Source organism: Homo sapiens, chromosome 1, assembly GCF_000001405.40.
Source record: "Homo sapiens chromosome 1, GRCh38.p14 Primary Assembly".
Classification (NCBI taxonomy): domain Eukaryota; kingdom Metazoa; phylum Chordata; class Mammalia; order Primates; family Hominidae; genus Homo; species Homo sapiens.
In genome coordinates this window covers 90,277,960-90,305,820 of record NC_000001.11, presented here as the reverse complement: position 1 = coordinate 90,305,820, position 27,861 = coordinate 90,277,960, and the positions used below count along the sequence as shown (strand labels likewise).

Genomic DNA, 27,861 nt, shown 5'->3' with positions numbered 1-27,861 from the left:
ACATATCTCTTAGAATGCTGGAAAATAAAAAGACCAACCATACCAAGTGCTGGTGAGAGATATGGAGATTTTACATTGCCACATTGCTAGTGAGAATATAAAATAGTACAACCATTTTGGAAAACAGCTTGGCAGTTTCTTGAAAACATGCATACACACATATACAATGATCTACCCATCCCACTTCTAGATATGCACCCAAGAGAAATGTAAAATCATATGTTCACACAAAAACTTGTATACAAATGTACATAGCAGCCTTGTTTGCAATAGCCAAAAAATCAGATACATCCTAAATGTCCGTCAACAAGTGAAGAGATAAACAGAAGATATTATATGCATATAATAGAATACTACCCAGCAATAAAAAGGAATGAACTAGTGATATACACAACATGTATGAATCTCTAGGTAATTATACTAACTGAAAGAAGCCAGACAAAGAAATATACATCCTGTATGAACCCACGTATTTAAATTCTGTAAAACACAAACAGATGTTCAGTGACAGAAAAGAGGTCAGTGGTTGCCTGGGGACAAGAGGTGGGTGGAGGAGGAGCAGGAGAGAGAAAATACAAAGGCGCACAAGGAAACATTTGGAGTGATATGTTCATTATGTCATTCTGGTGATGATTTCACAGATGTATACATAGGTCAAAACTCATCAAATTATGAACTTTATGTGCAATTTATTATATATCAATTATAAGTCAATAAAGCTGTTAAAAATTCAATGACGGGAAGAGAGCATGATGCATTAGACTAATAAGTGATCATTATTAATAACCTCTGGGACCTGAAACAAAAGATTAAGAGGGAAAGCTTTTGTTGCTCATGCCAAATGGTGCTGTATATCAGTCTTCACATTAAAAAAAAATCATACTATAAGAACTGCGGCTAAAGTATATTTGTCCTCTTTTGATTCCACTGCTATCCAAACAGTGGGCATGTAGTACTTTGTAATACTTGAAAGTTTTAAAGATTGTCTACATTGTGCTCCTCTTCTTTTTCTCTCTCAGTCTGGAAGTCCTCCAGCCACACACATTAATGATGGAATGTAAAGCGATCTTTACCTGGGAAGCTCAAGAAAACCTGTAATGCTCTCAAAGATCTCCAATTATTTAAGCCTGGTCAAGCTCTGAAAATAACAGAGGATGTGATGTGGTATTAAAACAAGTTATTTTACTATTGGCAACACCTATATGGATTGTAGTGATGTCTAACCAGCCTGTTCTCACTCGCATGCTCCAAATGGGGACAAGAAGTTTCTCTAGTGCAGCTTCCACACTCTTCTTGGCTCTCTCTGTCTCCTTAATGGGACCTCCCACTGAAGTCAACATAAAAAGACTCAAATGTCCCCCTACCCATCTTTGCCATCACCCAGATCCTTTGATTGTCAAAATTGAGTTCCATTTTAACGACTATTACTTGTGGAATTATTTCATTCATGTAACAAATATTTATTGTACACTTACTATGTTTTCACATGTTGAATGAAACATACAAATTCTCTGACCTCATGATGTTGCAGGGGCAGAGAGGCTGAAGGTAAACCAACGTGGAATGAACAGATTCATAGAATTTGAAGCATTGCATTGAACAGGCAGGACTCTGAGAGATCAAAGCAGAAAATTTTCTTCCCTTTACCCTTCTTCAACTCTAGAATGCAGTCATGATGGCGAAAGCCTTAAGCAGACATGTGAGACCATGAGAAGAAAGCCCTGTGTCAAAGATGGTGGAGTAACTTGATAGGAAGAGTCACAGACAAGTCCAGGCCTGGACTGTTTACTTCTTGACTTTGTTTACCCAGGAGAAAATAAATACTTCTCCTGCTTAAGCCATTATTTTGGGGTTTCTGCCTCTCACAGCCAAATTATATGTGTTCCCGAGGTTGGGAGTTTGAGACCAGCCTGGCCAACATGGTGAAACCTCATCTCTACTAAAAATACAAAAATTAGCTGGGCGTGGTGGCACATGCCTATAGTTCCAGCTACTTGGGAAGCCGAGGCAGGATAATTGCTTGAACCCAGGAGGCGGAGGTTGCAGTGAACTGAGATTGAGCCACTGCACTCCAGCCTAGGTGACAGAGCAAGACTCCATTTCAGAAAAAAAAAAAAAAATTCCTTCTCTGAACATTCACAATACTTTAGCAATAATTTAACCTCTTCCTACTCTTTATTACGATGACTTAAAAGCTCACTTCGTATTCCTATTCTTTCAACTTTTAGAGGGCAGTGTAGTTGACATATTTTCTTGATCTTTAGGTCCTCCAGGCCACCTCAGGCGCTGGTAGGTGTTTGCTGGATTGCTTCTGCACTGATAGAAGTGAGCAATAGCTCATTAAACATGCTCAAAAGTAACTTCAAATCCATATTCATGGTTCTGCCTAGCCCAGAGTTGGGACCAATCACTATAGGTGGCACTGCTTTGTCTAATTTACTCCCAGTTGTTAATAAACAAGAAAGCATATAGACAAACATCTGGGGACATTGATGTTGCAGCTCTCACAGCTGAGGCTTAGAGCTGAGTTAGCCCACTCAGGCGGGACTTCGGTGCCAGCTTTATCCCACAGAAACCGTGCTTGTTTCTTCTAGTTGTTAAACAAAGTAAAAACCCACCTGCTCAGCCTGAGCAACTGTTTTCAATCAATAATTAAGTAACTTTAAGGTCCCGATCTATACAAATTCATCAATATTTTCACTGAAAAGGGATCAATATAGAAAGAGGGAAACATCCAAGTAAACCCTTTTAATGGCCATGTTTTGGCTGTGGGAAGTAAATGAATTGATTAAATGAGTGGCCAATATTGGCCCACCAATGCAATTCTCTTCTGATTTTCATAAACATTCCCACCAAACTAGTTTAACCCTCTCCCTTCGTGTTACGTTACTTTGATAAAGTTCTGTTCTAAGTGTTCTACTCAAGATGGGGCATATGCTCACATTAAATGTAAGAGAGTTTCTGAGTTAATCATTATTGAGAACCGACTATATCCAGGCATAGTGCTAGTGCTTCACATGAATCATTGAATGCTGACTAAATTCAGTGAGATAGGTGTCATTATTAATTTCCATTTTGCAGATGAAGGAACAAAGGCTTTAGGAAAGTGAAATACTTGTCTCCAAATCACAATAATGAGTAAGAGTTGGAGCCAGTACTTTCACCTTGTTCTAGTATCCCCTGCCCTATTCAGCATTCCACACTGCATCCTTACATTATCCAACCTGCCCTCCCACCACTGTGGGCCCCACTGCTGATGCTCAACTCTTACACAGAGTATGATGATGAAGTTTTGGCTCTTAGTAGGTACAGCCATAATGTAAAATGAGTAATCCCTTTAGCCTCCATTCACTTCTTTCATTTTGGCCAACTGTTGCCATCACTCAGAACATTTCTGGAGATGTGTCCTCAGAGCCCATAGAAGCCCATAGAAGCCACCAGCTCTGTAATCTGAATGAGTTTGGGTTAAGATCCCAGCTCCACTATTTCCTGGCTGTATCATCTTGGACAAGTTATTGTCAGTTTGTGTGTTTTCATATTGGGGATAATAATAGGGTTGTTGTGAGGATTAAGTGAGATTATGCACATAGAGCACGTGTGGCATGTTTGTATTATTATATTTTGAGAGCAAATTTTATTCCGCAAAAGTTACTTGGAAACAGGTGTAATGAAGTAAAAAGGAATATGTTAGTCCGTTTGTGCTTCTATAACAAAATATACAGACTAGGTAATTTGTAAACCATAGAAATTTATTTCCCACAGTTCTGAAGGTTCAAGGTCTCAGCAGGTTCAGCGTCTGGTGAAAGAGCACAGCCTCTGCTTCCAACATGGTGCCCTGTTGCTGCATCCTTCAGAGGAGAGGAATGCCATTTCCTGATATGGTGGAGGGGACAAAAGGGCAAAAAGGAGCAAACTCCCTCCATCAAGCCCTTTTATAAGAGCCCTTTTATAATTTTTCAAACCCCTATTTCAAGCCCTTGTATAATTCATGAGGGCAGAAACCTCCTGATTTATTCACAACCTAAAGATAAAACCTCCCAACACTGTTGAATTGGAAATTAAGTTTCAACATGAATTTTGGAGGGGACAAAAACATTCAACCCATAGCAAGGATGATCCAGTTTAGGTTGGAGTCAAAAATTAAGTGTGACTCCAAAACACTCTGACATGTGTGCTTGACTGTCTTGCCTACTGCTGCACAAAGATTCTGAAGTGGGTTTCCAGACCTTCCAGATCATTGCCACAGCCTTGGCTTAAGTGTGAAGCCTCCCAATGTGACCATTCCACAGGCAAATACATATTTGAATATTTAATTTTAGAGAGACCTTTTCTAAAAAATTATATCGCATATGCAGTAAAATAGATAAATCTCATAGACATAAATGTCGAATGAGAAAAAAACAGAAAAATAAGAGTATATACTGTATGATTCTACTTCTGTGAAGTTCAGCAACAAGCCAAACTAATCTCTGGTGACAGAAATCAGAATAGTGGCCTCTTTCTGGGAAGTGGTACTAAGGCAGAAGGAGGACGAGGGAACCTTCCAGGGTCCTTGAAATAGTCTATATCTTAAATTGGGCATGGTCATGAGCATGTACGTATGTGAAAATTTATCAAGACGGACACTTAAGATTAGGCGCTTCACTGTATTTACGTCATGCCTAAATTTTGTTTTAACTGTCATACTTTATAATCTAACTGAGTGGGCTTCTCTCAGTCTCACCACCCACCCTCACCCCCACCCACCCACTGCACCCCTGAGATTGAACTGAGCTCATCATGAGACAACAGAAAAAGAGGCTAATGGGAAATACCCAGTTTGAGCTGAAAAACTATATGGGACCTGCCACAGAAGACGTTTATCCAGTCTATTGGCTTCTAACAATAATACCAACCCTCACATTCAGAATTTATTTTTAGATCAGATTTCAAATATGCAAAACGGAAGTGAACATATCTTTTTCAAACCCAATTTCAAGATCATAAATGCAGTGCGTGTGTATGTGTGTGTGTGTGTATGCGTGTGCACTCCTTTCTGTGCATGTGGACATAGGACATATAGACCGGTCTTCTTTTGCACTTTGGAAGAAGCTTTTTCTAAATATGTATGTCCTCAGCATTTATCAGTGAGACCACAGTATAAAAGGATGGATCTTCATGTTTAACATGTAACTAACAAAAAATCAGAGGCCATCGAGTTGGAAGAAATCTTCGCAGTAGAGGTCATTGGCTCATCCTTCCACCCTGTCAGGACTCTTTTCAGTGGCAGCCCTGATGGAGGATCCAGATATCCCCATGAAGTTTAGTTAAGACACCTAGAGGATTTCTGTCTTGTTTGCCACTGGGCCATCTGAGGATGCGAGAGGCTGAAGTAAGGGTGTGAGCCAAAAAAGGAGAAGAGCCGCCAAATAGCTTTTATGTGTAATCAATACAGAACAATTCAATGGCAATAAGAATTACTACATCTCCCCTTGGGCCCTCTGCCTTGTCTTCTAAAGCCAGCCACATTAAGTTTAGAGCGATTCAGTGCTTAGATTGTTGGAAATAGGCATGTCAGAGAAATGCAAAAGTTGCACTGGCATTTGAGATTTGCTCTGCCCTTCAGCAGGGATGGAAATCTTACCTCCCATTACATCTGTCCAGGTCATCCAGGAGTCTTCAGCCGCCCTCAGCTGTTGGGAGCCATTGTACACACTTTCTTTCTTTGTAAATATTTTTTCAAATTTTTTTTTAAAGAATTAATACACATTCTCATCTGTAAAGGTTGAAACTCTCGTCTGCCATCTCTCCCTGCCCTTCATGGAATTGCCTCTCCCTTATGGAGCACAGCTGAGAAGTGTTCACTTATGCTGTATAGAAAAGGATTTCCATGTGACAGATGGAAAATTTCAAACTACAAAAGTGACCTGAAAATTGCACAGAGCACTTACTAACCGCTGATGGGTCTCAGCCATGAATAATTATTGATCTGTGGGTCTGGAAATTGGGTAGTTAATGCTAGGAAGGGTGCAAAATACACATTTTAGGAGAAAGTAGATAATTTTTGTGTTTCCAATCTATGTGGTCACATTTTAAGTATTTGCCACTGTATGTTTCTTTTAAAAAGAAAACAACGTAGTTACTTTTTATATGTCAAAAGATAACAATTGATAATGTGCATCAGTTTTAAGAAAATCTCCTATTTTGTCCTTGTTACACCATTGGCTAGAGCAGCCACTAGAAAAATAGAGAGCTAACTAAATTTTTAGAGAGAAACCAGCGTTGAGATGTATATTAAGGTAGAGAAGCCCCTTTCCCTTAAATTGTATATGAAATACTTGCCTGGAACTTTTCATCACTCTCCCCATGTTTAATGGAATATTCAGTACCCAAAAGCACTAAAAACATATCATCTATTGTTTCTGTGTCTAGTGATATGAATATAATAAGAATGAAACCCAACTAATCATATAGCATAGAAGAAGGAAAACCAGCATTTCCCATGTACCTACTATGCATGAGGCATCATGCTAGGATAAGAGTAACTCCAAGCCTGCTGTGAGGAGTAAATCAAACAATGGGTATAAAGAACATAGAACAACAACATATGTTTAGCAGAGATTTAATACATTTTACTTATTTATATCAGGTAATGCGTGTTTCTTTTCTTTTCTTTTTTAAAGTTACAACAACTTTGTTATTTAATACTGAAACATGTTTCTCATTCCCTGTTAATACAGTAATTAGCCCAAAATTCAAACATTACAGAAAGAAAAAAGGGAAAAAGCAAATGTCTCCCAAAACCAGCCACCATCAGCATTTTGTTGACGATTCTTGCATACCCATCTCTTCCTCTACACTCACGCATATATAAGTTTACATAGTGGCATCTTACTTCTTATGCATTTTGTTATCTGACTTTTGAATTCAACAGCATGTCCTGGTGTTTGCAAGGTAGACATCATTATTTTCATTCAGGGGAGTTGAGAAATTTAAGGCTCAGAGAGGTTGTGCACACCTTCCCAAGGTCAGTCATTTTGCTACCAAGGGAGAAAAGCTAAAATTTGAATTTTAATCTAACTAATCCAAACCCATGCTCTTTCCACACAAAGAAGTAACATAGAGTAATTGCAAATTTCCCTTAAGAAAAATTCAATTGTACACAAATTTACTTATATAAACCTTTTTAGCAACTTGTTTCCAGTACATATGAATGGCAAGCTAGTCCTGTTGGGAGTAATTTTAAAAAGAGAAACTGGGGTTTGGGAATAGAAAGGGGAGGTAAAACAGATGGCAAAAAAAGGAGAAGATTTTGCACTGTGGCCTTGGGAAAGATAAGGGAAGATGAAGGGAAATCATTCCAACCTTAGAACTGTGCCTTTCTCTGAGGAGGGAGCCACAACGTGTTGAGGAGGGCAAAGCCGCAACAGGAGCCTAGGCGAGAAGTTAACATTTGCAGACCTAAGCAATCTATTTCCAGGGGCGTTTCGGGAGAGAAGAGCACTAAATACTTCCTCGGCAGAGAACAATTGAGGGTCTCCAATGCCTTTCCCATCTCAGGCAGTCAAGTCTCTGCTTCTGACTCCACTGAAAAGACTGGAAGGAGCATCAAAGAAGAGGAGCTCCAGCCATAAAATCAAAAAAGCATGAAACATTTGGTTGGAGGATGAGAAAGACACATAAAAATTCTTGTTAGCATGCATATTACCTTTAATTAATATTTATCTCTACCTTTAAACATGCTTATTAGCATGCATATTGGAGTACAACAAATTGGCAACCACCAGTTTTCAGGAGAGCTATCTTGAAAAGTTTCAATTAAGCTAAACATGGCAAGGGAAATAAATGTACATGTATTATTACTAATTTAGTGTGAGAAAAGTCACCAACTGACTATATTTGGTGTTTATTTCTGCAGTTAAATTTTCCTTTTAGAAATATATTTATAGGAGATTTTATATGAATATTTCTGACCTTTGTCTTCATTCTATTTTCCCCCTTAAGGTCTTCATTTCCTCAAAAGTGAATTCTCTCACCGCAGGAGTTTTCCAGATCCTTTCTCACTTCCCTGTATTAGCCAGCCACTTACACTGAAATAATGACATGGAAGGACAGGAAAAGATGGGACAACCTATTTTCCTTTCAGCCCTTCCTTACTCATTAGTAAGCCAAAGGTAGAAAGCACTAATAAAATGTGCTCATATTAAGAAGTGAAAGAAGATAAAACAGTTGACCTAATTCAGTGCTAGGTTTCCACTGTTCTGGTTAGAACAAAATATATATGTATGCATGAACTAACAAATACAATCTGTGAAGTTTTAGTGATTCTGCACACATGTTAAATGTTCTTATATTTAATTTAAAATGGGCATTGCACACTTGATTTTCAATCTAAGATATTCTATCGCTAGTTTATTACTTTGGGCAAGTTATCTAAAAATCTGTGATCCTATATTCTGTCTTTAAAATGAAAGTAATAATATTTACTTTCCAGTGTTTCAGTGTGAATAACTGAGATACTCTAAGTAGTAGTTATTGATCTCAACAATCATTTATTTGGCTTCTAATATATGCCAGAGCATTTGAAATTCAAAATAAAATATAGTTTCTGACCTCAAGAAATTCATCATTCAATGGAAGAGACAAGATTATATACATATAATTAGAATGAGATGTAGAAGTGCCAATAGAGGTAGGTGCAAAACACTAGGGAAAAAAGAAAAGCATCATTCTGGTGGATGGGTGAGGTTTCTCCAGGTAGACAAGATGGGTAGTTGTTCCCATCAGCAGGAAGGGCGGTGAAAAGACATGATGTGGTGCAGCAACATGGCTCGCTGAACAGCCAAGAGGAGGTGGAAGAGGCAACAAGAAATGGGCTCCAGGGCCTGATCACATTCACCTGGTAAGAAATTTGAATTTCTATTGCAGTTTGTCTCTTAAATATGATCTTTCTCTGATACACCATGATCAACTGGTTTGCAAAATAAGAACTTTGTATCACCCAACTGAATTTTCCTGGTGGACAGATTTTCCAGATTTCTAAAGAATGGGTGTTTGACCATAAAGTAGCTGGTATCCTCTGTATTGTCATCAACCCTGACACAGAAATTCACAAGGAATAACAGCATCTAGAATTTTCTGTTCAGGCTATTTATAGAACAAAACCAGAGCAGTTATAGGAGTTATGTTATTCACCCAGGATGACATCCCAATTCATTCATTCACTCATCTTGCAAAGGTTGCCTGGCCCTGCTCAGGCTGCAGGGTGGGGCTGACATGCCCCCACCTCCAGATGTCGAGCTGCTTCATAATCACCGCAGTGGCACCTCACACTGTCCCATTAGAGAGGCGCGTGCAGCCCGCTTGTTGGGCATGTTGATGCAAGCTTGGGAAGGAAAACATAATTCACTTTTGCCAGTGACAGAAATGTTAACACTTACTTGAAATAGCTGATAATCTGACACAGGAGAGTTAAAGGATTACTGTATTTCATTTGGCTAATAAGAAAAGCTGTTTAAAAGCCATGTTAAAAAGACTTAATGTATGGTGACTGAGCATTGCTTTAATGTATTCTGTGTCATCAACTATTAGAATGATTTTCCCCTCTTATATTGCCATAGATTTTAGCCTCTTTTCTCTGGGAAGAAATAATAGAAAGCAGCATCCATTCAACAGAGACTTTCCAAAGAAACATTCATTCTATAAGTATTTCTTGAGCACCTACTGTGTGCCATTCACCACACTAGGCATTTGGGGTTCAAGGTCTCAGACTTCTCAACAAGGGCATGTTTTTTGGAAAGAATTGATGGGGGAAGACAGTGGACAAAAGATATTGAAAAATCCTGTTTGGGATTTAGTTGATATATGAAATAATCTTATTTAACTCTCATTTACTAGATGAGGAAACTGAGGCCTAGATGCCAAGTGACTTAGGGACGGGGCATGGCTAATTAGTGGGAAACCCTGGCCTGGATCCATGATCTTTTGCTTCTCATTTTGATGCTGGAGCACAATCTCCTGCAGTCACAAGAAAGAACTATGAAAGGATGTGTTTGCAGCAGGGCAAGAAGCCCAGTAAAGCAAAATCCCACGGGGCTCCAGAGTCCCTCAGCATCCACAAGGAGCACTACAGTCCATGACAAAGATGCCTTCAGTTCTGTCCACACTACTCAAGAACAGGCTGCTTCACCCTCTTGCACTGGAGGGTTGCCCTCTTTCTGGTGGTTTCTCCTGGCCCAGTGCCCCTTCTTGCTATCCAGGGCACTTTCAGCACAGAAGACATTATCAGGAAATAGATACATTCCCCCACCCCCACCTCACCAGTCAGCAAAATTGCTCTTTCTACAGCTGAAATACTCAGGTCTAAAGCCAAGCAACTTCCTTCCTTCCTTCCTTTCTCTCTCTCACTTGCTCTTTCTTTCTTTCCTTCTTTCTTTCTTTCTTTCTTCCTTCCTTCTTTCCTTCCTTCCTTTCTTTCTTTCATTCTTTCTTTCTATTTCTCCTTCTTACCTTTTAGTGTGTGCCTCATATTCAAGGTACCAGGTACCATTCCTCCTTCTCAGGACTTGGAGCTCCCTATCTCCCTGAGGTCTTGAGATCCAAAGGCAACATGACTCCATTCTCAGATAAGACAGAAAAACTTCTCCCCAAACCCTTGGGATCCTTACTCCCCCACAATGGCAGGGTTGTGTGTTCCTTCGCCAAAAGATTACTATTGCAGGGGTTAAAACTGACAAGGGAACCTGGAAACTAATGCAAATGCTTAGTGGTTCCCCCTTCTGCCTGCCCTAATTTTTAGGTGAGTGTGGCCCACCTTGGTGACAACAAGGAGCAGGAAGCAATTGATGTGGTTAATGCATTAGAGCCACCTCAAATCAGCGTTCTTTCATACAGAGGTGATCACAAGCAGTGGCCACACAGGTTAAGCCATGTGGATCTACAGACACCTCATTTACTTTTACTACAATGTCAGAAATTCCTGAGATTATGGGCTCAGTAAATTGATCTAAATAATTCAAGATTATTATTCCCGTAATTCTATTCTTCACCTGCTGCATAAACTAAATTCTTCTTTACATCCTCCCCTAAATTGGACCTAACCATCCCCTAAATTGGACATTAAAAACCACGTGTTTTCCCACCCTTAATTTTTGTTTGCTGCATTTACAAAAGGCATTCTTTGTTGTAATTTCATTGACATAAGGAGTTTCATTACCTTCACCACTCCATGTATCTGGCACAGCTTCCTTTTGGATCAGCTTTGCCCTTGACCCACCTCACTCCTGAGGTCCCAAAAAGGCAAACACACTCGTGTCTCCCACTCATTGCGTTGTCTGTCACACCCACTGCCTCACATAAATTCACTAACTTAGCATATCATGTTCCTGTGAAACAAATTAATACATTTCCCCCCTCCCACAAAAGAGGTTTACTTCTAATCAATCTTAAGAAATACTAATAATCTTAACACTATAAAATCTCTATCGTTTATGATGTACTTACCATGGGCCAGGCCTGGTGCTAAATGCCTTATATGTATTACCATGGTTAATTCTCACAATAATAATAATAAAATGAAATAATTATTTTTATTTCACAAATGAGGCTCAATGAGGTTGGGTAAATTATCCAAAGTTATTCCAGTTATAATTATTTACACCGATCTTCAAATCTAGGTCCTTGTGACTCAAAGCCCACTGGTTTATCAGTTCCCCCTAGCTTAACTTCTAATTTGTTCTCCTGGAGCACTGCACAGAAGTCAAAATACTTGGTTCTGAGTGGTGAGCCTTGGTCATTAACCCTGATTCTCAGAGAAGTTGACATTTTCCAGATTCTACAGTCTCTGTGCCTTTGCAGCCCGCCTTCCTGGGAAAGAGAATGTTTAGTTCTCAGAATTTTTGTTCCAATTAAGTAAAGCCATGGTTGTGTCTTTTAGAAATTGAAAAACAAAACAAAATTCTATCTATAGTATTTGGATGAACCAGCTAAGTTGAAGGTACATTTTATCCTGGAAAGAGAGGGATAGAGTTGGCGTTAGAAGACTTTCATTCATTTACCAGCTCCACCATTGAGTATTTTTGTGATCTTGATCTTTCTGACCTCAATTTCCTCATCTGTGGAAGGGGAGAATATTGCCCTTCTCCAAGAATCCTCAGGAGGATTTAAGGAGACCCTGCTTGAGAAGGCTCTGGGCACAGTGCCTGGCATGTCATCTGATGATGTTCTTGTTGGTTTCGTTTGAGTCTTAATTTATCTGAATTTCCCTGGGATATCTATTTAAGAGCAAGTAAAATCTGAAATCAGATCCTGATCTCTTTACATGTTCTTCCCTAGGCTTCATAAATTAATAAAATGTTACATTTATCAGCATTCTTTAAACCCCTACATCTGTATTACATGCATATCACAAAGTATGTGGTTAAAAAAAAAAAGATGTCTCCCCTCCTTATCCTTTGGGTCTTCTCCTTGAATTAACCCCTGTTTGAAAATACTGGAAGCTAAATGTGAATAAAAAATACAAAGTTCACCAAACTAGAACTCAGGTCAGTGTTCAGGAAACAAAATCTTGCTTTATTGATACCTACAGAAAATTCCTGGGATATTCACAGCTATTCTCAGTGCTTGCTACATCACAGAAATGCCTGTGATCCTCTGACCTTTTGATCAATTGCTCGCCTATCATCTAACATCTTCTGCTAAGTGAAGAGCAGGGTATCCCTAAGAGTAGGTATTAATTATTAATATGTATTAATAATACATTGCATTACCCTTTCACTGGAGTGGAGGCTTTTGGATCTAGTCAAGTTTTATAAATTTTTGTCAATTTGAATAGGCATGGCATTTTTCAATAAATCATTGCAGTCTGGATCAGTTTACCCCATGCAACCTCCAGTCAATTGCCCAGGAAAGAGAAATGCCTGAGTGGAGATATAATGTTTTTGTTCATTTCAAATCTATTCCATCTATTTTTTTCTAAAAACAGCACTCAAGTTTTGCTGGAAGTTCTGCCTGAGCTTAGCCTATCCACGTGGATCAATTAAACAAACTGATTCTTCCTCTGTCCTCAGAGGTGGGCATTTGACCCAGAACTAGCCAATTAGCATGCAGCATTCCACTGGTTCAGTGATGGGCATGTGACCCAATCAGAACCAATCAGAACTAATCCCAAGACCTCCCCCTGAGCTTGGTTCCTCATCTGAGAGAAAGAGAGTGAGAGAGAGAGAGAGTGTGTGTGTGTGCGTGCGCGTGTGTGTATGTGTGTGTGTGTGTGTGTGAAGGGATGTTGACAGAGGGGGACACATTTTATGTGGGCCCATGTTAGAAAGATTGGGAAGGAAGAAAATAATGAGCGTGATCCTTTCCTTAAAATTATGAAGAATTATTTCTTGAAAGATCATTGCTACCATTTATGGAAGACTTTAATCTGTGCTAGGCAGCTGTACTAAATACTTTATATCAATTATCTCATTTAATTCTCACAACTGCGTGAGCTAGATTGTACTATTATTATGCACATTTTAACATTTTATGCAATAAGCAACTTGCCCAAAGTCACACAGCAAGGAAGTGAGAGAGTCAGGATTTAAACCTAGATCTGTCCTTCACTAACGCCCAGCTCTTCCTCTGAATAAATCGGTTACTTGCCAATCTAATTGACAGTGTACAAAGGGCTCCTAAATTTCCCATGATGTGGACTTGTTAAATCAAGTTTATGTTAGATGAGAAGGGAAACAATGTTTGTCACTTTATTCTCATGGGAACTGAAATATTTTGATCATTGTACTTTCACAATGGGCGTTTGAAAGAAACAAATATGCAGATCAAGGCCTGTGTTCCTTCTAGCCAAACTGGCTTCAGACCTATGTGGAATTTAGGCAATGGTGCCCTTCCAATGGTAATAGGAAATCTAGTGTTAGCAGGTGCACTTCCCTTCATTGATAAAAATCCTTTGGAATTATGTAATTCAAAATTACCTTGAGATGTAACTTTGAATTTAGAGACATAGAATTGAAAAAAAAAAAGTGATGGATAATTTCTGGTGACATGAATGGACCTATGAAATATGTATTTCTTTTCTCCCCATCTTGCATCAACTCATTTGATATTTCAGTTTGTGTAATAGTTAAAACTCCTGGCAGAGCAGAGGCAGTAATTGCAAACAGCTGTAAAGTATTACTCATCTTGCTGATCAAAATGACTTCCCGCTAAATAAACCATGAAAAAAGCTTTTCCACCCACAGAGAAGTGAAGTGTAAATGATATATAGACTCTACCATGAAGAGATCAACAGATTGCATTTTCCTATAACTATGGTTTTATATGGCTACAGTTACTTTCAAAAATGGCTTATAAACTCAGCTAGTCCAGGAAAAAGAACTTGGATAATAACATTAAGAGATGGCAGTGGGGATCCTGGGAAGTGTTTGAAGTTACAAAGCTTTTGGAGAGCCATCTTGATTCCTCTCAGGCTTTCCAACCGATGAAAACAACTTCAAATGTGGTTTTATTCATGCTTATTTTGGATATCACACCAGCTCTCTTGCCCTTCAGAGACATTGCGTCTCAGGAACATTAGCTGCACATCCATGTCTTGGTCTTTCTATCATGGTTTTGAAGGGTGATGGACCCATGGTGGTGGTAGTGTCAATACATTGATGCTCCTGCCATGGGCATCTGACTGTGAGCTTCAGCTCCTGACAAAAGAATAATCTGGTGCTGGAGTCACAGAGCTGACCTCTGATGTCACTCCAGCTACTTGCCCACACTACACTGCCAGCTCCTTGTGATTCTCCTAAACTAAGAAATTCACTGGGCAATATTCACCAAAAGACAATAAAAACTTCTCTTCGCACTCAGACATAAATCTCTCTCCCCTACCTATCTCCTTTCCCTAAATCAAGAGTCATCTATAAATTGATACTAAACCTATCTTTTCAGTCTTACTGCTTTTTTCATTTTTACTTGAAATGTAATTGTACCTATTTATAGGATACAGAGTGACATCTCAATGTATGTATATAATATATGTATTTCTATATATATAATGATCAAATCAGAGTAACTAACATATCCATTACATCAAACTATCATTTCTTCATGTTGTAAACATTCAAAATATTCTCTCTTAGCTTTTTCAAAATATACACTAAATTACTGCTAACCATCTTTACCCTACAGTGCTGTAGACACTAGAACTCATTTCTCCTATCTAGCTGTAAGTTTGTATTTGTTAACTAACCTCTCTCTGTCCCCTCCTCCCTGCTGCTCTCCCCGGCCTGTAATAACCAGAATTCTACTCTCCACTTCCATGAGCTCGGGTTTTTTTTTTTAACTCCCACATATGAGTGAGAACATGCAGTATTTATCTTTCTGTGCCTAGCTTATTTCACTTAACATAGTCTTCCAGGTTCATCCATGTTGCAGCCAAGGACAGGATTTCATTATTTTTATGGCTAAATAGTACTCCACTGTGAATATATACTACCTTTTTAATCTATTTATCTGTTTTTGGACATTTAGGTTGAGTCTAATCTTGGCTACTGTAAATAGTGCTGCTATAAACATGAGGGTGCAGGTATCTCCTAAATATGCTGATTTCCTTTCCTGTAGATAAATGCCCCATAGTGGGACTGCTGGAAAAAAAAATTCTTTTTCTTTAAACCTGATCATGTCTGTCCTTATACATGCATGTTAAACCCATCTCTCACCATCAATGCAAGCCCACCCCGAGCAGTTGTTCCCTCTTCTCTTCCCTCATTTTCTGCACCCCGTGTGGCTCCATACCCCAGCCTCAGGCCTTTCTATACCATTTCCTATTTGGGACACTTAGTTTTTATTCAACTCTGGTACTGTCCTTTGAGAATTTGCAACGTGGTTTGGCTATGGCACTTTTTATTAAGATGTCACATCAGGGTTGATAAATTCAAAGTAATATCATTCTTTTTCCTGACAAATTCAGCTCCTCCTTTCCACTGCACTTTCTTGCCAATGCCACCACTCTTTCTTCTGTTGTGTAGGGAGAACACAGGTCACCTCCTTGGCATGAAATGTGTAGGTGCTCAATAAAGACTTGCTGAATACATGAATGAAAGTTCTTAGAGTACACCCTTGTAATTAGACTGATCATTACATAGGGGTAAGTTTTATTCTCTAAAAGGGGTGAGTGGGAGTTTATGCTAAGGTTGTAAGCATTTCTCAGAGCAGACTTTGGATGTATATTACAGAACTGCTGAACATGTGGAATGTGCATATTTAATACTGAAAATATTTAATGCTACATGTGTAAGACTTTTGCCAACTGGAATCTGAACATCAACAACTTCGAAGGCCTTATTCTACCTTCTCAGCACAAAAATGCTTTTTATGAATGCACATATTTATGTGCAAAAGTATAGAAAATTGACTTTAAAATATACAACAAATTCATTTTAGCAATTGTCCCTGGGGACCTAGAAGGAGAATGAGATTGGGGTGGCAGGAGTGGAACATTAGCTAATAATGCTTTATTTTATTAAAAATAATTACTGAAAACCAATACAATAAAATATTAACAAGTTAATTGAGGGGGTTGGGAGTCTAGCGCTTATATTCTTCTTTGCATGTTCTTAATATCTTTAAAATTCCCTTTTTTGCTTTTGTTAAGGAAGTCACAGTTTAATTGGCAGTATATCTATAATGGTACATGAAATAATGTCTGATTTCTAAACATTGACATCCTACATTAGATGAAATATATTAACTATCAAGCTTTGATATTACACTATAAAATTAATTGGAGAAAGTCACCCCTCTTTGTTTCTTTTTTTTTGTTGTTATTAGGTGCCCCATATGATCTGCAGGAATTTTTTTTCTAGGCTTTGATCATTTTAAATGAAATCAGAATTTGTTAAAGTTCAGTTAACACTCAGCTGTGAACCCTACGGTACTGGGATCTTTTTCAATGGGAGATCTTTAAGCATTATTCCAAACCATTCTATGCTAATTTGTCTATTGATAATTTATGATTTATTATTAAATACATTAAATTTCTTAAAAAGAAAAATCAAAGAAATAAAGGAATTAGCAGTTGAAAGCAAGAAAACCTATTCTGAGCATCATCCATACTTCTTGGCAACCAAAACAATGAAATCAATGCCTTGGGTTAAACAGTTCCCAATTGTCCACCATGTTACCAGGAGAAAAAAACCCTTTATCATAGGGTTAAACTTTGGGAAGGATTTTCCATAAGAATCCTAATATAAAGGTTCTTGAATGACATGATGTACAAGGTCTTTGATAGCAATGTGACCCAAAGTGCAAAGATGTTTTACTAGTCCTGTTGGTGCCCCAAATTGGCTCCAGGTAAGTAATCTGGACATACTGTGAAATTATAATTCCGTATAGACAGTTCAACTTAAGGGGTTAGAGTGATGCAATTCAAATAGATGGCTTTCTTCTGATCTGGCTTAACGTAAATCTTGAAAAATCTGGATGAGTAAATGTTTAATATATCCTCAGTTCTCAACCACTCTTCTTCCCACAACAGACAATATCATAGGGCAGGACATCCTCCCAAGGGTACACTCAATATTATGTACAGTTCCCACACAAGAAAGCACATCATAATCTTAGTGAGAATGATGTTCTCATAAGGTCAGTTATACTCAGTGTGCATAGTTGTCCTAGTGTGAGTATGAAACCAAATCATTCACAAGTACCACTAGTCTGATTATTAGTAATAATCCACTTGTGATATAGCTTTTCTTTACTGACACAAAATATTGTTTGACACCATGGTTGAAACATTGGTCTTAGGCCAACACTCTCCATTATCTGTTGTTGCCAAGCCTTTGAGAGGTGTTTTATGTGGGCAAAAGGTCCCTTCCTATCTCTTTGGTCAAAGCAAAGGAGGAGTACAGATGACTGAGAGAGTGATCACGCTACTGTGCCCACCTACGAGGTAGAACTTGTTCCTGGGTTGGGAGATGTTTTATGACCAGGGTGCAGTAGAAAGAGCATACAGCTAGCAGTAAAGAGAAGTGGTCCTGATTGCAGCTCTGCCTCTAACTTCCTGAGTAACCTCAGGCTAGTCACCCAGTGACTGCTCCCCACATTCCTTTTTGTAAGCTGCCATGACTGAATCAGACAATAGCATCTAAGTTTCTTCTGAACTCTCATACTCAGGGAAGCCAATGATGTTGGCAGGATGAGCTACATAGTTAGTAGGACCCAGCGCAAAATGAAAATATAGGGATCCTTGATAAAAAATTAAGAATTTCAAGATGCAACAGCAGAGCATTGTAAACTAAGCGCACAACCCTTCTGAGATCAAGGCTTTCTGCAACTGCACAGGTCATAGCCCTTGAAGCCAGCCTGGTGTCAGCTTCCCATTATGAAGCTGGTCTGTCATTCAGGGCTCAGAAGTTGGATCTTCCAGGCTGAAAGTGGAAGGAGAGCACATGTTGTGCTAGTCACAGCCAGAGATAATGCAAAGAGGACTTAACAAGGGCCCAGGCACAACACAAATTGTTATGAAGAAGAGAAGAGGGCCACCTAGGGACTTAACACAAAAATGATCCTCTGTCCACATCTCCTCTCCAGGTTTCAGTCATGGTAAGGACTGTCCCAGATTTCAGAGCCTTCAAAGAAGATCTTAACTCTAAAACCTGGGCAAAGTCTGGGATAGCAGTTTGTGTGCCACCTCACTCTCCTGTCTCTTTCTCTCTGAATAAACATCTTTTATCAGGAAGCCCAGCAGAACACAGTCAAGAAGAAGGTAGGTGACTGGTATTCCCATCTTGCTGAAATCGCAGCCACTTGGGGTCAGTGTGATAGCAGTGGTGGCTCACGTCTTGAACATAAGAGAATAGACTGTATTGTCAAGGTACTGATGCAACACACTTCTGCCCTACTTGGTGCATTGTCTCAGGTCTCAGCACTCACAATGGATGCTCTTAATTCTACACAGAATCCCCAAATGTCAATGAGGATCACTGGCCAGCCATACCTTAGTTCATGGAGGGTAGTAGGGATATCAACAAAGGCCCCACCTTCCACCACCCAAGTGCTTCCAATCAGAAGGATGAGCTTGGGTAATTTTGTGATGCGTGACAGGATGGTGTCAGCAGACAGGCCAAATCCACATTCAGTATTTCCCATCATGAGATCTTTGGTGTCAGGTAACATTAAAGAATGAGAGTGGTGAAGAAACACCTCTGGTGAACCACTTTCCAATAGGCTGAGAATGCAGCTTTCAAATCACTTCCAATACTTGGCTTAAAGAAACTGGAAAGCTAAGTGAAAGAGAGAGCACAGAGCAGGTCAGAGTACCTGAGATCCTGCTCTCAATTCCCACTTACAGGCTGAATGACCAACGGAAAGTCATTTGTCCTCCTGTATTTCTGTTTTCCCGTTGAAAAATGGCAATAATAAGTAATAATGCTTGCTTTGTGGGGACCCTGTGACCAGAAAATGAGGCAACCTATAAAACACACATTTAAATAGAACATCACTGCAGGACTTGGTGGCTCATTCCTGTAATCCCAGCACTTTGGGAGGCCTAGGAGGGTGGATCACCTGAGGTCAAGAATTCAAGACCAGCCTGGACAACATGATGAAACCCCATCTCCACTAAAAATACAAAAAATTAGCTGGGTGTGGTGGTGGGCTCCTGTAATCCCAGCTACTCAGGAGGCTGAGGCAGGAGAATTGCTTGAACCCGGGAGGTGGAGGTTGCAGTGAGCCGAGATCCTGCCACTCCACTCCAGCCTAGGTGACAGAGCAAGACTCCATCTCAAAATAAATAAATAAAAATAAAATCACTCTGCAACTAGTGGGTACAACCTGAATTTCTTTTTTTTTTTTTTTTTTTTTTTTTTTTTGTCTGTTGCCCAGGCCATTACCCAGGCTGGTGCAATCTCAGCTCACTGCAACCTCCACCTCCCAGGATCAAGTGATTCTCCCGCCTCAGCCTCCTGAGTAGCTGGGATTACAGGGGCCCACTACCATGCCCAGCTAATTTTTGTGTTTTTAGTAGAGACAGGGTTTCACCATGTTGGCCAGGCTGATCTTGAACTTAAGACCTCATAAGCCTCATAGATTCAATAAAATCAGTCATGATAATAATAATAATCATCATCATCTTTAGAGGTTCCCGTAAGGTACAAACTGCTATTATTTCAATCACCCAAAATGCCTTGTGGGGCCCTAAGGTTATCTGTAGAATCTAAAAAGAGACACATACTCAAATTAGCGAAGTCACATCAAAATTTGGAGAAGAAAAAAAGAAAAGAAAAGAAAGGAGGTTTAAGAGATTTACTCCACCAATCTCTTAGTAATTTTCATGCTCATTATCAGTAAGCTGTGTTTTTCTTACAAAAGAGCTACTTGGGCGTGCAGTGACTTGAGATAATTAAGAATGCATTTACATTTTATGGAGCCACTAATGCCCTCAGCATTCCAGGATCCTGCATTAGATTTGCTCATGGTACTTTCCTCCAATCAGTGAATATTAACATATTTAACCTGTATTCAGGCAGTAACCTCTCAAGACACTAAGACTTGATTCAGTGATGTCAAGAAGTCAAAAGGGGGTTTGTCAACAGAGAAAAGCCATAGCTACCCTCCAAATTCTGCTTCTGTGAGTATTTTTTCTACTCTTTTAATTGCTTGAAGGATCTCATTAAAATTTCCCAGTTAAAGTGAAAATTGGAAGGACCACAGAGCAACTGTGAAAGAATGGCTTTTAACACAATTTCCAAATGACAACACAAAAAAGGGATGTTGCCAACCATTGGTCCTCTAAAAAATGAGAATTCCAAGGAAGTGGGAAATTTGACCTGATGATCTTCTGAAGTCCCTTCCTACCCTAAGTTCTATGTAATGTACAAAGACCAGGATTTGCAATTGCCCCATGTCCTAGTCTTCTGAGGCACCTGGAAAACAAAGATCCAGACTCTACTCAGTGCATGGAAATGTCCCTGAACCTTACCTGGAAAGAAAACAGCCCTGCCAGGTAGCCCCTGAAAGATGTGTTTTGCAATGGCAGCAGATGGAAACTGTCCCCCACACCCCTTTGCAAATCTAGCAAGCCATCCTGCAAACTGACATATGAACCAGGGAGTGAGATGGGCTGAATTGTAAGCATGCCACTGCATTGCCACACCTCTTATTTGGGCAGATGCACATAAATAATTGAGCAAAATAAATTGAAGGCCAACACAATCAACACAGCATCAGGGAGTCAAAACCACCTGGGACTAGGTATGTGAAGAAGAGGGTATAAAAACAGAGTATTTAGAAGTCTTATCTGTCTGTGGTTCTAATTTTCAAAGTCAGAAGAGACGTGTCCCCTAGGAGGCTGGACCCTGCTTAGGAAGACATTTGGACTAGGCAATAAAATAATATGAAAATACCAAAAAATAAAAATAAGGAAGAGCAATAGGTATGTAACTTTACTCCGGGACTCCTGTGGTATCTCACAACACCATGCTTCATGAACCCCAAAGAAAGCAAAAAATCTAGCTAGTGTTATAAATCCTGGTCAGCTGAATTATTTCACATGTTGCAGCCTGACTTAAGTTATTCATCGCAGAGGCTAGCAGCTCCCTGATGCATCCTTCCATGTCACTGGACAGGGTAAAAATAATAAATTGGCCATTGTGAGACACTCTGAGTTTTGTGGGGTTGAGCAGAGCATATTTTATATTCTTCTCTTGCAACTGCCTCTTGTTGGTAGTAAATGGTTGCCAGCGCTGCTGTTTCTCAATAGACAAGTCCTAGAAGTAAAGATAATTCCATTTTCATTCACTCTTAGCTCTTCTGCTACCGGTGTTCTTCTTTGACACCGACAGGGCTGTACCTGTCTTCCTGGCCTGACGTAGCTCTTGTATGGTTTGCCACTTGCCAGAAAATCCACGAGCCACTCTAAAAACCTTTTGCCCCATAGAGACCACTCCAGTGAGTACAAATTGTCCAGTGGTATTTTTAGACGGTCTTCCTCCTTAGCTCATTTCTCTCCAAGAACAAACATATCGAGGTGTTGATTTGGCAGCAGCTCCTGAAAGACAATCCAGCTTGCTTTAAATTTTAAAGATTTTCAGTGTAATAGAAGATATAATAGCAACAGTAGCATCCTCTGTTACATTGAAATTAAACTACTACACTTTCACTGTTGGGGTGGCAAGTATAATTTCTATCACTTCTTTGGAAAGCAATACAACTAACTAAAGATAGCCAAAATGTCTATACTTTTTGGAACCAATAACCTCACTGAAAACAATTTATTCCAAGAGTATGATTCAACAGAAGAAAACAAACAACAAGTAATATATATGTGCTTGTTTCTTCCTGTGAAAACAACAACACAGAATTTATTAAACAAGTTTTGAAACAGTTGGCTATGTGGTAACATGGAACAACATTCTTCTATAATGTTAAAGAATAAAAGCTTAGAGAATAGTATATATTCTGTGACTCCAACTATGAAAGAAAACATAGATCTACATAGGGACAAAGATGATAAACATGCAAAAACAGGTGTTGAGTTCATGGATTATGTGTATTTTTCCTGCATTCAAATTTATCTTTATTATTGCTTTTTTATGTTCCCCCCTCCTCCCCCAAAAAATCTTAAAGGTCTTGAATATGCCCCTATCAGTATTTAACATTTCTTCTGAAACTGGGTCTAGATGACTCAATCTGCTGCAGTGTTTTGAACAAGATGTATAGCAAGGTTATTCTTTCCATTGTGTGTGTGTGTGTTTTTTTTTAACAGCCAGACACAGGTCTTTAATGGTACAGCTGGCTTCTTTGTTTGGGATACGTTACTTTCAATCATTTTCATGATCCTCTGCATGATTTACAGAAGCCGAGTGGTATGCTTTAGCATTTCCATGGTCCTTCTTCTCCACGGTCATGAGATTCTTAGGCGAAATTCTTTTAGTGCCATTATTCTCCATTTACAAAAGCAGAATACAGTGGCAGGAGCTGGGACTCTGGGAAACCAACAGCCAAGAATTCAAACTACAGCATACTGCAAAACACTCAGATAAGATGTCCCCATCATATTCTATCATTGGGCAAAATAAAATGTAAACCACATACTCAAAACAGCAAATATTGTGGGTGACAGTGACACTGGTATTCGGAAAGATGAATAAATGCAATTAAGAAGCCAGGCAAAGAAGTAAACATGCCATGTAGCTTACAAAAGACCAGCCACATTGTGTTTATTTTAATATTGTTTAACGGTAACACCTAATAAAGAGAGCATCATGATTGTGTGAACTAAATTTTCAGTCATAATGAATGCTACAAACTTAACCTCCCAAGTTTAAATAGGCCACAACGTCTTGGGAAAAATGCAAGAAGAATTATTTGATAAAGGTGACGCTTTTTCACACCTGAAAATAATGTTTTTCTTCCAGCCTATCTTGATCAACAGCCAGCAGCAACACATTGCAGATATAATCTCAAGACCTTGTGGCATGTACTTGTCACTACATGCATAACTTACTATGGACAGAGGATCACGGAGATTTTGAACATAATTTCCCACACGACAGGAGATTAAATAGACCACATTGGAAGAAGGCAAGAAGAAGCTAGGTCTCTGGAGTACCAAAAAGTAAACTTCAGCCAGTTCTGGAAGCAGATAAACAGCAGGAAATATACTTTCAGATGGGCTACTTTCTCAATAGTTCTTGCTTGCAAGAGCTCTAGGGAAAGTATGAGTTACTGGGTAAGAATGTAATAGGAAAGGGGCCAGCCTTGGGAAAATTTGCAATGGAAGAAAATCAGTGTCTCCTCATTTACTTCTTTCTTTCTCCTCTTCCTTTGTAATGCTACCTTTCTTGGGGTGTTCCTTCCCCTAGAATACCCTGCCTGTCACCCCACGAGAACCTGCTCTTGAGACTGCATTTCTAATACCTATAATGAGATGTTAGGTAAATGCCTTATCTCTCAGTGTATATACATATTAAGCTTTCTCTCTATGCTGTGTTTTCTTGTGCAGGAATATCAGACATTAATGAACCAATAGAGAAGATACTGGGGTGCAGAAGAGCTTTCCCAGTGTCCTGGGAGCCATTCTACACAGCACCCTGCAGCATGACTTTGGATCTGCTGTGCTTAGTTTCTTTACTTGTGAAAACAGAGTAATAGTAGCACCTACCTCACAGGATTGTTCTGAAGATTAGAGGGATTCTTTCATGGAAAGCTCTAGAGCAGTGCTTGAGAGATGGTAAGTGCTCCACATGTGTTAATCATTATTATCGTTATCAATATTTGATGTAAAAGCCTTTCTGAAAGAAATCACACAAGAATATGATCAGTTAAAAAATATACATGAATGAAAGTATGTTTGGCGCTGTCACAACACAGAGTGGCATAATGGTTAAGAACATAGGCTTTGGAAGTCAACCATCTGTGCTCAAAGCCTTGTGTCACCACATGGCCATTGTAGGGCACTGGGCCTCAGATTTATAGCCTGAAAAATGGGGGAACAATGTCTGTCATATAAAGTTGCTGTAAAGATCAAATCAGCTAAGAAATGTAAAATACTGAACAGTGCCTGACACAAAATAAACACCCAATTAATGGTAGCAGGAAGAAAAGAGTACTCTTCAACCAAAATTTTACCTTTAGAAATTGGTTAAGAAGGAATGAGTGCTTGGGAATCTTACTGCCAGAGCTGGGGAACACAAATAACCCCAAGATATGACCCAACTGAGAAATTAGACACCAGAGTTAGCAGGTCTCAGGACTCGAGAACATGTCATAGATCTGGGGGCCAAGTGGACTTCCCAATTCCCCAGTCCTGAATTAGGCAGATGCGCCCTTCAGTCCTTGGCTGAGCTGGACTGAGGCGTCCTCCAAAGGGAGAAATAAATTTGCATCCTGACAAGAGCTAACTCTGAAAGAGAGAGAAAGCCACAGAGGCTGAGTTTCACCAGCACAACTACTTCCAAGCACATTCCTCAGGTAAGTCATTTCTCTTCCCAAGGGGAGGACTGAATGAGCTTATGGTGAGAGGTTGAAAGTTTTTTCCTTTATTTTCCCCTCATGGGAGAGGAGTGGAAGTGCTATCCTCTCTGTGGGAACCTTCAGACTATGGAAGTTTCCCCCAACACTTGGCATTGACTGATTCATCTGCATGTTTCTATATCCACATCTTCTATATGAAGAATCTAAGTGGGAATAGCCTCCAAAGTAATCTGATAGACACATTATAAGTATAAATATTGTTTATTCTCCTTGTGGTAGTTTGTCCTCAAGATGACCACCATCAATTTCTCCCCTCCTTCTATACACACTGTTCCTCCATCTGGAGGTGGAGTATGTTTCTTCACCCTATTGAATCTGTGCTAGCCTGTGACTGCTGTGACTGGTAGAATACAGCAGACTGATGCTGCCTGGACTCCAGGGCCGGATCACAGGTGTCTTCCAACCTCTGCCTGGCTCTTGTGGAATGCTTGCTCTAGGAGGTATCAACCCCCTTGTAAAAATCAAACTGTCTTGAAACCTCCATGCTGTGAGAAAACCCAAGCTAGCCATGTGGAGAGAGAGAGAGAGATGCCCAGCCAGCAACCAGCTGCTCCAGCCATCTCAACTGAGGCATCAGCCGTGAGAATAAAGAATCCATCTTAGATTTCCAACTCAGTCAGTTCAGATAACTCCAGCCCCAGCTGAAAACTCACAAGAAATTCCAAGTTAAAACCACACAGCTGAGCCCAGTCAACCCAAAGAACCATGAGAGATAACAATAATTGATAATAATTTCGGTGACTAAATTTTGGGGCTTAGTTATGCAGCAAAAGATAACCAAACACTCCCCTTATAGACTTTACCAAATTTTTCACTAGGCCTGCTTCTTCTTGTGGTTGTCTTTTAAATCTAACTCAAATGGTGCTTGAACAACTAAGACTAATTTTTATTCAGAGGACTTTAACATTCAAGATAGATGATGGTTGGCATTTGTTTTGGTGTTATCCGAACAAAACAAAAACTCTCCTTCTGCAATCCTCACTAAGGATTGTTCTTTAATCCTCAATTAAAATGCTTTATAAAAACAAATAAAATTGGGTTCCTTCTAGCAGCCTAAATGTCATATCTCTAATGCAAATAATAGATTGGATAACAGAGAGAATGAATATTTACCATGAAACTAATTTCCTATAATTTGATGCCAATTAAGATTGTAATTGCTTCCTCAGTATCACCAGATCATTCACAGTTTCAGGAAGTACGAGTATATTTGGTTACATTTGTTTAACTTGTGTAAACTCTTCTGTGATTTGTTATTTCCAGAGAAAAATGGAACTTGAAACCAGGAACAATTCTGAACTAATTTTCTGTAATGGTAGACCTTAAAATCAGATAAATTAGTTAAGCCAGTAATGCAAATGAATCCATGCTCATAACCCTGATGTTCAAAGAAATTAAAAAAGAAAACCAAAGGTATATTCAGGTGGTCATTAATTAGTCCTCCTTGCCTATAGTTCACTGATAGATTTGATGGAATTTTTTTGTGAAATGCATTCTCTGAAAGTAAGTTGGGGCACCAACAGATCAAAATGCCCATGATTGGGACATGATGTAGATACTGATTTATATAGAGGAGGACAGTCACATATTTGCCTGCTAGGAACATTTTTCTGAAGGCTAAAGATATTCTGTCTGCAAGACTGTGCTTATTTTTCTGGCCCAGGAAACCAGGATACATGAGACTTACAATCTTTCAACTCCCTGGCACTCAGGGTTAGCCTCTTTATTTCTCTGAGCTTCTCTTAGGGCAAAAAAAAAAAAAAAAAAAAAAAAGAAGGATGTGTGGAATTTAGGAATCAGGCACATGAACTAATTCATGTAAAAGTGACCTGCTTGATCTCTGACTTTTATAGCAAATGATATATACATAGGAACACATGAAGAGGGGAACTCTCCAATTCCCCAAAGCCCAGGCCACTCTGTTGAGCACTTTGAGCACCCTGGAGGCAGCTTATGTTAACTCTTATAGACAACAAGTAAATTGCTATATTGGTATAGCTTCCACCCAAGAGAATCTTGCTAGGATCTGACCTGTGTTCAGGGCTAGTGTTGGTGTTTCTGTCCCAGAGGCATTTCTGCTGTTTTAACCAAACTATTTCACCTGCTAATCCTAGTATTCCAGATCATCTCAACCCACTATCCAACCAAACATGGAGAGCAGAGCAGCCCCATCTCAGTTATGGTAGCAGATGAAGCAACTCAGGCAAGTAAATGACATCCTTTCCATCTTGGGCCTTATAACCAGGAAGTGTGTAGTCTTTTTGCCACCTACTCTGGGGATGTTGTTGAGTCTCAGGATAAAAGGTACTGAGTGTAGATGCAGCAAGTGAAATATTGGGCTTTGGTGAAGGCCCACGAGTCATTGTCGTTGGTTCTGAAGCATGAAACTTGGTTGGTTTTCCCAGCCCTGAAATACTTGGAACTCCTTTTGGACCCATCCTACAAATTCAGAACCACATAAAGGAAATGGTAGTGGTAGGAGAGAAGGGAGAATGCAGATGGAGGAGGAACTATAGACAGGGCTGTCGAAGAGGTAGTCTCTGAGGAATTGTTCTCCAAGGATATGGAATGAAAGGCTTTTATTTGGACATATCTTTACATGATTGCTTTTACCGAAAATAGAAGTCAGTCATAGACTGAGAGAATTGGATTCACATTTTTTAAATCTGTGTTGCAAGCAATTCTAAAGTCAACACATGATAATATGAACACATAAGTCCTTTCAGGAAAGCAAACATGACGTAAGTCAGGTAGGTATGATATCAGTGGTAGAGGCACCCCAACGTGATCATAGCTTTCTTTGTTTTCATTCTCTACATTGATGGGAAATTTGTGATTTTTCATCCAGTAACGAAATCA

The 27,861-nt window shown here is 39.4% G+C and overlaps 2 long non-coding RNA genes across 5 annotated transcripts in view; one reads left to right on the top strand and one right to left on the bottom strand.

Annotated features, from left to right (window-relative positions):
- The first annotated feature begins 4,913 nt into the window (after positions 1–4,913).
- LOC107985088 (uncharacterized) lies at positions 4,914–27,205 on the top strand. 3 transcript variants are annotated; one of them, XR_001738146.3, is made up of 6 exons: positions 4,914–8,881; positions 18,559–18,733; positions 20,492–20,596; positions 23,385–23,698; positions 23,972–24,199; positions 27,117–27,205. It is a non-coding gene; the product is annotated as an uncharacterized LOC107985088 (long non-coding RNA). The 3 variants fall into 3 exon arrangements; XR_001738143.3 differs by having other exon boundaries at positions 4,914–18,733; positions 27,117–27,193; XR_007066217.1 differs by lacking the exons at positions 20,492–20,596; positions 27,117–27,205 and having other exon boundaries at positions 4,914–18,733; positions 23,972–24,137.
- The window catches only part of LOC105378849 (uncharacterized), a 65,806-nt gene continuing 58,535 nt past the window's right edge, over positions 20,591–27,861 (bottom strand). The window contains exons 3-5 of one of the 2 annotated variants that reach the window (XR_947588.4): positions 24,131–24,260; positions 23,474–23,601; positions 20,591–22,015 (exon numbers count right to left, since the gene is read on the bottom strand). This is a non-coding gene — a long non-coding RNA (uncharacterized LOC105378849). The remainder of the gene's footprint in view (positions 22,016–23,473; positions 23,602–24,130; positions 24,261–27,861) is intronic. The other variant, XR_007066216.1, reaches the window with a different exon arrangement.